At 34.0% G+C, this 12,725-nt stretch overlaps 1 protein-coding gene and 1 long non-coding RNA gene across 13 annotated transcripts in view; one reads left to right on the top strand and one right to left on the bottom strand.

Moving 5' to 3' along the window:
* CPEB2 (cytoplasmic polyadenylation element binding protein 2) overlaps nt 1–12,725 on the bottom strand; it is a 67,671-nt gene that overhangs the window by 48,493 nt on the left and 6,453 nt on the right. For 11 of the 12 annotated variants that reach the window (XM_005248135.4, XM_011513777.4, NM_001177381.2 and 8 more), the window contains one exon: nt 4,381–4,471. In XM_005248135.4, the coding sequence (XP_005248192.2) occupies nt 4,381–4,471 (91 nt within the window). The other variant, XM_011513779.3, reaches the window with a different exon arrangement.
* The window catches only part of C1QTNF7-AS1 (C1QTNF7 antisense RNA 1), a 422,973-nt gene that overhangs the window by 406,256 nt on the left and 3,992 nt on the right, over nt 1–12,725 (top strand). The window contains exons 3-4 of the long non-coding RNA NR_125911.1: nt 3,778–3,857; nt 11,087–11,166. This is a non-coding gene — a long non-coding RNA (C1QTNF7 antisense RNA 1). The remainder of the gene's footprint in view (nt 1–3,777; nt 3,858–11,086; nt 11,167–12,725) is intronic.

Genomic DNA, 12,725 nt, shown 5'->3' with positions numbered 1-12,725 from the left:
CAGATCTTCCCCCAAACCGTTACATAAACTACATTTCTTCCTAGAGTTTTCAAATCAACTTTTATGAGCTACAATTAAGTAATTCTGTTTGTCCCTATACTTTGGGAAATGATACAAGCAATTTCTGGCAAAAATACTCACACAGTAAGCCTTTTTACAAATTGTTGGGGGCAGGGAAGGAAAAGAGCTTAACAATAATCACTGTCTTGTTCTTTTGTTAAAGGGGGAATATATATACACATATATTAAAAAATCACAAATTATTTAAAATAGGTATGCAAATCTAAAACTGAAAAACTACAAAACAGTACTTGGCAAAGCATGATTTACTTTAACCATTTAAAGAATCCATGATCTTCCTTTGAAAAGCAAATTATTTGCCAAGAATCAAGATAGTCACCAGAAAATAGGATGTTAATGGAGAGAAACTACCACACAATAAATAAAGCAGACGGGTCAGTGCCATTCATACTAAAGAAAGCATTTAACAGTGTGTCACTGTTCACGATCCATAGCAAAAGATAGCACACTCTCGACAGTGTTAACTGTGCCCTGTTACACCCAGTCGGCATCAGGCAGCCCTAAACAAGCTATGCCAGGGCTAGCCTCCTTTCAGTTCCTCAAATGTAACAATCTCTTCCATGCTTTTGCACATGCTGGTTCCTTTGTCTAATTGACACTTTCTCCCAATTTTTCCATCATTGTGCTGCTCATGCTTCAGGTCTCAGCTTCCTTTACTCCACATCTAAATTAGGTACTTCCATTTATAATCTCTCTAAACACCTCATAATCTTCCTCCACAGTATTTCTAACACACAGTAGATATACGTATATTGTATTTGTATAAGGAATCTCTCTTTCCCCAGTAGGCTATACAATGAGGGCAGACACTATGTCTGTCTCCGACAACGTGCAGTGTCTAGGAAACTTGTGCAAAAACAGACACACTTAATTGAGTAAAGTACATTCTGCATTCCATCTTGGGTTGCCATCATTTCACATCTGTACAACTTCAACAAGACTAGACCCTTCCTACCTGCTATGCCAGACCATGAAAATATTAACATTAAACAATGGAGGTTCCCTACTGTCCTGAAAAAACACTGGGGAGTAGGAAAAGGCAAATAAGCTGCAGTGAAGTGTTTTGGGCATAAACAAGGATAAGAGGGAAGGTGCTTCTGTTAGCACAATCACCAGTCCTCAGTTAGGTCAGGAACCTGCCACTTAGCATTCTAGAGATCTATCTGCTTGACTGCTTTCTTCCAATTGACAGTCTCACCTTGACTAATTTTTCTTTTCCTTTAACTGTGGGTCGAATTGAATACAAATTTACCACTCTGCCTTTTACCTCTGTGGTAGCCAGCCTCTAGTATTCACATCTCTTGAATAGCAGACTTGGCCTAAATTGAGCAGAGCTGATCTATGCAGTTAACAGAATGTTGTGGAAATGATGGTATGAGACTTCTAAGGCTAGGACATAGAAGACATTGGGGCATTTGTTTTGAGCTTTTATCACTCACTTTGGGGGATATAAGCAACCATGTTGTAAGAAAAATTTTACAGCCCTGTAGAGAGGTCCATGAGGCAACAAACCAAGTTCTTCTGCCAACATCCAGCCATGTGAGTGTACCATCTTAGAAAAAGATCCTCCAGTTCCAGTTAAGCCTTCAAATGACTGCAGCCTCAGCCAGTATGTTGACTGCTACTTCATGAGATATCCTTAGCCAGAAGTAACCAGCTAAACTGCTCCCAAATTTAAACCCACAGAAATTGTTTGAGATAATGTATACTGTTTTTTTGATCTGCTAAATTTTGGGATAATTATAGAGAGATAACTAATATCTCTCCTCACTCAAGTTCATTTTCCTAGATATTTTCAGCATTAATATAAAGAGAAATAATTCATTTTAAAAGTTTACCCTCCAACTCCCTTCTCCTTTTTCATCAGATCCCATAACAAAAACAAAACAAATGGCTGGTTTGTAAAACAGCATTTAAAAAGGATAAAATAATATTCATTTTGTTTTCTAGGGGAAAATCATTTTTTTTTAATTAAACAGAGGACAGGATTTCCTACAAGGGTTGAGAAGGTAAGAGACAAGAGATGAGACAGAGGGCGAAATACTGCCCTCAAGAACAGTAATGGAAAGAAGGAAAGCAAATTCAGGTGTTAAACCCTGGATGGTTTATTCCATTTGCTACCACCTTGATTTAGAAGATTCTACTGAGGTCTAGCCCAAAGAAAAAAGTACAATAATCAGAGTACGGAGAGAAAGAAAATATACAACATAATATCCCAGAAGGCAGTGGAATTTGTATTAATAAGAAAAGAAAGGAAAAAAAAAAGACTTAAAGTGGCAGCACTTAGTACCAAGATAATTTTAAATAGGGATATGATGGTGCTTTGTAGAAATATCAGTCTTATTTTTTTATTTTATGCAGAGAAAGTTTCTCGATTTTTTTCTTTTTTCTCTACTTAAAAATTCCGTCATAAAACACGTGGAAGATAAAATATTCCACGTTTTGTGTAAATATGAAGACTTGTCACCATAATGATTCCTAAAGGTGGTTAGTGAGCATGTTTTTTCCCTTCTCACAGCCAAAGATAATTTTCCTAACTTAAAAATTTTGAATTCACTTGAGATTAAAAAACATATATATCTATATATGCGTGTGTGTGTGCGTGTGTATATATATATATATATATATATATATATATATAAAATTCCCCTTAGCCTTATAATGCTTCCATTTCCTTTTCAATGTCCTCTTTTTACGTTTCCCTTCACTTTTACTATAACCCAGGCTAGCAAAAAGAAAAACTGAGATAATTAACAGTGCCACAATGAACATTTTGTCTAACATGTTTAAAAAGCCTTTTGAAAAAAAAAAAAAGACTGGGAGAAACAACAATGAAAAACTTTTATTATCCACTGGTAACAGTTAATAATCTTGACTTTATCTTGTATTGGAGTTTCTAAGAGTTTTCTTTCTTGAGAAGCCAAGGAGATAAACAGGAAACTTCTTAATCATAAGCTGCTGGCTTCTATTCTAAATGGTGGATCTAAGACAAACCACTGAAACTGCCAGCATAACAGTGAAAAAGACCAAGACCCTATACAAAGATACTCAAAAAACTAAGCTGAACTTTGGTTAAAAGGAAAAAAAAAAAAGAAACTCAAACAAACATCCCCAAAAACCTGACATACAACTATAAGTTTGTATGAGGAATTACTATTAGCACACATAATCAACAATCACTAATATCCCCTCAGCTTCTCAAGCTCCTTAAAATTAAGGAATTAAAAAGACAAGGAATTCTTTTTACAAGAAAAATCCATAAACAGAAAAAAATAGTTAGATATGTGGTCAGTATTATCAACTTAGCCCCACATCACCACCTCCCTGCCAATAAGGAAGTTTATAGTTTTTAGGCCAAATCTTGAAAGAGAATTCTAACTTGGCTTTATAGAATTAAAAATGGCGAAAATTTACAAAGTAATCCATGATTTTGATTCAATGAGAGATTTTGAGCCAGAATAAAATAGTTAAGCTGCTCCTGAATTTCTGACTCACAGAAACTGTTTAAGGTAATAAATATTTATTGCTGTTTTTAAGCTGCTAAGTTTTGAGATAATTTATTATGTAGCAATAGATAAATAGTAACTGTCATGACTCAAATAGACAATTTGGTAGATTTTCACCACTGATATAAATGACAATGTGATATATTGTATAAAAATATATAATAATTGCTTTTTTTCATTTTATACACAGAATATGTACAGACAAAAACAAGTATGCTAATGAAATTTCTTCAAATACTACAAACAATTAGTGAAGACTGCTACTATAGGGTAAGTGGGCCGGTTCTTTTCCCTAATTTGTCTCAACTTCTATGAAAAGCTATTTTTCACCTCAGAGAAGCTACTATAAAATACTCCCCCCCCTTTCAAAACCCTATGACAGTAGAAGAAAAATAGAGAAAGGAGGTTAACTAGGGATAATTCTAGGCTGGAATCACTGCAAATTGTGAATACAAGTATTCCAAGAAATATTTTTAGTATTTTTGTACTTGAAAGAATTCTAGAAAAGTGACTAGTGTATACTTTTAGATCCATCCTTCATTCTCTGGTGAACTGAAGCATGTCTCTAAATAGTAAATTTTCCTTAAATTGTAAGTCAAGGGAGGTGAGTTCACATTAAGCAACAAAGGAAAAATATGGCATTTCATAAAAACAAAGATTCTCATTAATAAATGTGTAAGAGAGTTTTATATTGGATATAGGTGCTACTTAGGTTTCACTTTCATATAAAAACTAGTAAGATAAGCAAATTGGTGTATAATATAAACATATATTTTTTTAAAAAGTCACCTACCCTTAAGAGGATCATGCTCTGCTCTCATAATATCGATAAGGGAATTTTCCAAAGAGTGCATATTCAAACTGTCATACATTCTACTTCGATCCTGGAAGAGAAGAGGAAAAAAGACATTATAATCTATGCAGTTTTTTCAAAAAGCGATTATAAAACACTATCTAAATTCTCTTACATAAAATAGGACTTCTGATTATTACTAATTAATCTGTATCCCACAAAAATACCAATAACTAAAGATCTCATGAACTACAATGTTCCTTGCATTGGAGGACATTATTTTCAGTATATTTATCTCTTAAAGCTTTTATCAAAAGTAATCTAATTTTACTGGCAATACTAATGCAAAACAGTAAAATAATTTCTATAGTTACTTTTCTCTATAAAGTTTCCTGAAATCTTATACACACAGAAAGCATTTTTTGGTTAATTTCAAAACTTTTCTCACATATTTAGGAAGACAGATAGTGGCACATAGAAAATAAATATTTGGGAGGAAATATTTTAGTTCCATAATTGCACCATACTTTAAACATCTATCAAACATTTTGTTATCTGACATAGTAGTCTGAATTTAATAATGAGTGCATAAACATCTTATACGGTAAAAATCAAAAGCATAAGATACTAATAACCAGAACAGGGACTAATGCCTAGAATATTCAGATTCATATATTACTCTCTAAAGTGCTTCCATATTTGTCTCTGCATTTTTAAGCCGGCCTCCCCCAACTCCCCTGCAAAATAGGCAGGTGGAGGAGAGAAGAGTAAAAGCACAGTAATCTCATTAAGTCTGCTACTTCACCAAGTCTCCAAAGTCTTGTTATCAGAATCTTCTTTGCTGAATGTTCAATCCCTTCACTTGCTTATTTGAAAGAATCTGACTCTTTAATGTCCATAAATTTCTACTGTATTCTGTTCAATACATACTCAGTGTACCTGAAAAAAGGTATGTGGTGAACTACTAGAGGAAGCTCTGGCCCATGCCCTCCAAATAATCTAGGAGTCTTCCCAAAATACTCACCCACCCAGTTACATATGTGTATACACGCATGTGTAAGCTTATGTATACGTGGGGGATACAGGATAGTCCATTCTAAACTCTCAAAAAATGACTGTCACAGAAAATGGAAAGGAAGAATCTGAAAATTAAGTGGAAATAAAAGCCCCCATAGAAATCAAAATAAGGCACTTATTAACCTGGGTCCATTAGCTTCAAGAGAGACCAGAAGTCTCTGAGATTATATGTAATATACTGTTCATAGGTGTACAGTAGTCCCCCCTTTCTGCATTTTGCCTTCCACGATTTCAGTTATCTGTAGGACAATACAATAAGATATTCTGAGAGACAGAGATGCCACATTTACATAATTTTTATTACATTGTTATAATTGTCCTACTTTACTATTATTGTTGTTAATCACTTACTGTGCCTAATTTATGAATTAAACCTTATCATATGTCTTCATTGGAAAAAAACAGCATATGAAGGCACTATTTGCAGTTTCAGCCATCCACTGATTGTCTTGGAACGTATCACTCATGGATAAGGGGGGACTAGTGTGTACATAATTTCTTTTTTTCCCGAAGAAAAGGTTTATAGCTTTCATCAGTTTTCCACAGGAGTCCACAATCCAGAGAAGATTCAGAATCAGTTCTTTAGAAAGCTGAAGAAAAACCTAAAAAGCTTTTCTAAGAATATGTTCATTTATTTACTTTACTTTGATGTTTAAATTAGGGTTGTAGCCTTTTTAAAGCTAGGGGTTCAGAATCAGTACTGTAGACTAAGTTGCTGTCAGGGATTTAAAAAGGTAAAAAGTAACACTGAATGACGGAAGGAATGCTAGACTGGAGGCTCTTATTCCAGCTTTATCACCAATTAACTCTATCAGTACTCTTTACTGATTTTTACTGAAAGGCCCCTGAGGTAAAACACATGCATCAATAACAGCTGCTCTCTAGAACAGTGACCTTGATTAGTGATGGAGGCACAAAGAATCAATGAGCTGTAACAGTGGTTCCTAAACTTGAACATGCTTCAGAATCATCTGGAAGGCTGGTTAAACACACAGACTGCTGAAACACATCAAATTCAGTAGGTCTGGAGTGGAACCTGAGAGTATGTATTTCTAACAAGTTCCCAGGTGATACTGATTCTGCTGGTCTGGATATCACACTTTATAAGAAGCAATTAGTTTCTTCGTCTGAAGTCACTAAATCTCTCTAGGCTCTGGTTCTAACTCCTAGAAAATAATCATGTCAGACTAGATGATGCCTATAGTCTCTTTAAAAATTCTAGAAAAGAAAAAGACTCAAAATACTCTAAAATAAATGAAATATTAATAAAACTGAAACAGAGAATAGGATGGCCCATATGGGCAAAAATGACATATTAATTTTAGGAATCTATCCAGATATTTCCATCTTCCCTGTGCTTCCACTATACTGTGTTCATAACTAATTTGTTGATTTTCCTGTCTGTCCCACTAAACTTCTAAGTTGATTAAGAATAGGGACTATCTAATTACAGAATATAGTTAGTTCTCATGTCTGTTGAATGAATACTTCTTTATCTCTACCATAAAAACTCAATAAAAAATGTAAAAAAAAAGTCGAGTTCTGTAAGGAGAAAGACTGTACTTTTTAAATAGTAATGGTAAAGGACTATAAAACTTTCTCAGAATCCTCAACGGAACAGGTAGTCAAATGTTAATTGACTAAACTGAGACAAGCATCAGATTAACGTGGCTTGCTATGAACCTGAATTTCCAACCACCCAATGGAAGATTAAGTACCACAATACTGAAAGTTCCCAGATGTATTTAAAATAGAATTATAAAATGTAAGCTGTAATGATAAAAGTTAATGTTCATATAATTAAGCAAAAAATCCCTCTGCAGGTGTGCCATATCATGAAGGTTCTAAGAGTATACTGTAAATACTTTAAAATACTTTATTATCTTCCTTACCCTAAATCCTCACAAAGGAAATATATTACAGTTCATGGTTATCTTTTTAGGTTGTTAACTTTGAACAGAATCAACCTATGCCCAGTCAACCGATGACCTTAATTAATGGTAACTATTAAATCACCCAAACAATATTTCCCAAGTAACTTCCTTTTTCTGGAGGTGTAGGGGAAAGTACCCTCTACCTTCATTGCAAGAGGTGTGATCTTGCTCTATAGCATGGTAAAATTATTGCTCGGGTCATGGACAATATTTAAAGTATGAAAGAGAAACATCCTTAAACTAACTATAAATATCAGTGACCACTATATAATCAATTTTGAGAGGTGTTATTCAAAAAGGCTGCATGTATTAATAACTTCAGCTTGAATGTCTGTATCTAACTGAATCAGTGAGATGCCTACTTATAAGGTCTCTTATTTTCCTTTTTCTGTTAAGTATTTGATCCTAAACTCCTACTCTAGGAAAGAAAACAGCAAAGCTATTTTAAAATGATTAGCTTGGTTGTACTTTGTAAAGCATCAGCTGCATCCCATGTGATTTTTAAAGCAACAAACATAAAACAGCCTTGAGCAACCAAAGAGCACATGACATCTCAAAATTGCTTTTTGAATTTAATGAAACCTATAGGCTTACATGCAAAAGATATTGATAATTCCATTAAATAAATTGCAGGAATTAAAATATGACTTCTGAAAAAACAGAAACAAATCTGGTTATAAAACAAACACTCATGCATTCTTCTGAAATACAGACATTAGGAAAAATTGTGTTCATGCAAACTGCCATCAGTTTGAAAACTAAATAGAAGAACTAAGGCAATTTTCAAGTTACCATGAACGCAACAATACTAATTATCATTAATAAATATGGAAAATCATAGCAATGTAATTTACATTTATTACTATAAGGTTATTTGAAAGCACCAAAATACTTCAGAAATATAAGACTCTATGAGGAAAAGTGTGCATGCAATCTATTCTAAAATATAAAAACTATCTGGCAAACAATCAACTAAATGGGCTTTCAGAAACAGATTACAGAATCTCACAATAACTAACAGAATAAAATGATTAGAAAACATTGTTGGAAAAGGCATAACCTCTTTTATTATAATATTTATTTCATGGTTTTTCTTAAACCCAGACATTTGCCACAAACACTTACAGGAGTATCAATAAAAGCTTAGAAAGGCTGAAAAACACAGAAAAGAACAAAGTAATCCAAATCTTGAAAAAAGATAACCTAAGAAAAGATTATAAACACTGAAAAATAACTAAGGAGGTCAGTGTACAATATTAGAAGCAGTATGACAAAGGGAATTCAAACTTAATCACAAGAGAACTTTTTGAAGAGATATTAATTTTTTTTGCTGGGATACATTAAAAACCCTGTTTTATTTTTAAAGAAGTGGTCAATTAGAAACTTCTCCTCTTGAAAATGAGGTACTCTTCCAAAGAAAAATAAGATTATAGAAAACCCCTATATTCTTATATTTAATGATTTAGCAGATGCTTGAACATGTATTATTCTGCTTAACTAGAAAGATCAGCTTTTATTGTACTTACAATGCTTGTGTTTAGTTCTCTAATTTTTACTTTAAAATAAAGCAATGTAGTGCTAATATTGTCCTTAATTTTAAGTAGATATTGATCATACTTTCCTGTTACACAATGTTATCACACCATACTCAGTAGCAGATGACGTGCTACTCTACTGCATAACGTAGTACTCAATCTCATAAGCTCTCTTCTCATTCTCTAGTTGTTCTACATAGATAACCCTTATTCATCTAACTAGACTCTTACCTTCTCCAAGACAAAGAATAGTATTTTTTATCCATATATTCTAAGGGTAATTAAAACACTAACATACAGAATGAATGAAGATACATTTCTTTTATTTTCTTTATTAATTTCGAACCTCAATAAAGTGTGTTAGCCATTCTCAGAAAAAAAATAAACAAATGTTTTAAAAGGCCAAAGCTATTCTAGTACTCACAAGAATTAAAATAGACAAGTGGAAAACATTTCAAGAACAATTAAAGCACTGAACACAGAATAGGAAACAAAAAGAAGGCATCCATTACTTAAGCTGTAATACAAGAGTCCATTCTTTTCCATTTTCAGTGGGCATGTAACAGTTTGATGACTATGAATGTCCCTGAAGTTCATCTGGTTTACAAACCACTATTTAAGAAATGCTTTATCAGATAAACAAATTGGGTTTGGTATGCAACTATATACTGTTTTTTTGTGTGTAAGGTGAGTAAAGATTCAAATAATATTTTTTCTGAGACAGATCTCCAAATTATGATTTACCACATTATCATAACAGCCTATTAAAGATTAATGGAAAGTATCTTCAATTAATTCAAGGTAGTTTATTATGTGACATGCTCAAGCACTGCAAGTAGAGCTTGTGGAAGAGCAAAAATTGAGAGTTGATATATTGATAATTCCCCAGGTGGAAGGCAGGCGGACATGCACGTACATGCTTCACACACTCAATTACTGTTCCAAGACATTACTTTGTTTACAGTGAGCTGATATGTCATATGTAAACTTGTAAGTAATAATAACCTCACTTAAAGGATATTTACTCTTTGATTTAAAACATATGAATAAATATAGCGTAACCTTAACATTAAACTGAAAACTCCTATTTTTTTGGGAAGAGGGGGTGGTGTCTTGTTATGTTGCCGAGGCTGGACTCAACTCTGGGGCTCAGGCATTCAATCCTCCTGCCTCAGCCTTCCAAGTAGTGCACATTGCTGGATCTGGCTGCAAATTCCATTGTAATATAATTTAGAATTCAAACTTTTGAGTACGATTCTCGCAAGGGTAACTAGCTAATGACATTTTAAAGTACAGTAATTAATAACCCTAAGCAAATTCATGTAGATATACTGGCCAGGCATGATGGCTCAAGCCTGTAATCCCAGCACTCTGGAGGCCGAGGCGGGCGGATTACATGAGATCAGGAGTTTGAGACCAGCCTGGCCAACATGGTGAAACCCTGTCTCTGCTAATAATATAAAAATTAGGCGGGTATGGTGGTGCATGCATGTAATCACAGCTACTGGGGAGGCTGAGGCATGAGAATCGCTTGAACCCGGGAGGCAGAGGTTGCAGTGAGACGAGATCGTGCCACTGCACTTCAGCCTGAGTGACAGAGTGAAACTGTCTCAAAAAAAAAAAAAAAAAAAGAAAAGAAATTCATAGAGATATGTATGTAATACTCATTTTAAAGTCAGAAATGTTTATAATAATTTATATTTGCTTTTAGAAAGTTTTAAATTTGAGGGTTTTCTATTTTTAAAAAATCTTATTTAAAATAAAATTCCAACCCACAAAATTTTACATATTAACAGAAATAAAAATCAACCTACAAAACTAGCTCTTTCTTATTTATTGAATTCGATTACGTGTTCAGCTCTTGACACAGGTAAAGCCCGCGGTATCCAAGTATAAGAATTAAGACTTCAGTTCTAGAATTTTGTATTATATTCTAGGCCCCAATCAGTTTGAGACTAAAGGAAATAAAAAGTAAAATGTTGTAAAATAATGTACTTGTTAACAAAAATATACTAGAATTACACTGTATATGATGATAAAAGGTCAGAAATGCAGATAATCTCCTCAGACATTTAAGTGACTAAGAATCTTCTATAATTTTAATTTTGCCAAAGAATGAGAAACTACCCAACATTTTAAGATATCAATTTCATTTTGTAGCTGCTGCTGTATTTTTAAGAGGCTCAACTTCAAATACTTCAACCTTTTATGGAAAGATGGAAACACACAACAAACTATGTGTAAGTACTCTTAGGGTACTTAGAGGAGACAATGACACTGCTTTTAAGTCCAGTTGAAAGGTCACATACTACCTCCACTGCCTTAGACTAATGCCTAAGACCCTTTGCTCAAAGAAACCAAGAGGCTTGTATTCTAAAAATAGAGGCAAGGGGGGTGGGGCAGCATGGAGGAAAAGAAATGGCCAAAACAGATCAGAGAAAGTGTTAAAAGCTGGCTGGAAAGGCCTTAAATGACCCAGTTCAAGGTCCCCCTTTTACAGATAAGGAAACTGTGACCCAAAGAGATGAAAACCTATAAACTATGTCATTCAATGTCATAAAGATTATGAGGAAGAGGAAGAAGATCCAAGTTTCAGGCCTTCTTTCCTTCCAGTTCCATTCACTTTCCATTATCTCTTTTTTCCCCCACCACTGTGTTTTACTTCATCACATCACACCTCTGGCTCAAAAGTCCAAAGGGAATGCCAATATCTCAGCAGTTTACCAGATAAGTTTATCTTTAAGCACCAAAATCATTTTTCCTAAAATAAATTTCCCTAAAATCTTAGGTTATAATACAGGTAAAAGCAGAATAGCTTTGATTGAAGTCTAAGTGGGAGGGCAGCCCCGGAGGCTGGTGTGAAAGCTTCCCTTTCATTATCACCCCTATCTCCTCTCTAGCATCCCTCCAACTGAAATCAACTCAATAATCTGATTTCTCAACATCTGTCCCTGCCTCATGGACCATGTATGCCAGCTAATTTGTATTCTTTTCCATGGATACTTATTTCTCCTATATATGTATCCTATATATGTATCCATCCTATTGCTTCTTTCTGCACAGAGTAATTATGTCCTCTTCTATTTGAAAACATTTCTCTTGCCACCTTCAAAATAATTACATTAATTTTCTTCTCCTAAACATACCATCTCCTAGGCATTCATGTATTGAATTTAAATACAAAAATGCTACCATAAAAACGTCACTAATAAGGCTTAACTGGACCAGACTAGAGAAGAGAGTAGAGGTAAATAGCTAACTTATATTAACAAGACAATACGTTGCAAATTGCATGAAGTAACTACCATTTCTAGGTGAAGACCCTGGCAGGACTACTTTGGAAAACAGGCAGGACTTGGCTAAAACAATTGTTAGTGGTTGATTATCAAAATTAATGCTAACCTTCTAGATTAGAATGTTACTTACAAACGTATTATTAATCTGTTTATGTCCTTACTTGTAAAATCATCTCATGTTGATAAATTAACCAAGGAAGAGACTTAGAATAACATAGCTCCATTCATATAACACACACAACGTTAAGTCTATGCTCATTCAAACTTGAGCTCTGTAAGAAAGAACCTGCATATATAAGGACTGAGTTTTCTATAACCTATAATAATCCTCACCACCTGGTACCTAGTATACATTCAAATTCAGTTTGCAGGAAGAAAGATAGCATTTTGTAACCACCAAAGGTGTAAATGTAATTTGATTAAGGCTAACTCCCAGCTTTTTGACTAACGGTTTCTCCATAGGAAACTGATTATTTGGAATAAGTCAGGGTATAAAAGCAGTA

Source organism: Homo sapiens, chromosome 4 (genome assembly GCF_000001405.40).
Source record: "Homo sapiens chromosome 4, GRCh38.p14 Primary Assembly".
NCBI lineage: Eukaryota > Metazoa > Chordata > Mammalia > Primates > Hominidae > Homo > Homo sapiens.
This window is presented reverse-complemented; position numbering and strand designations above follow the sequence as displayed.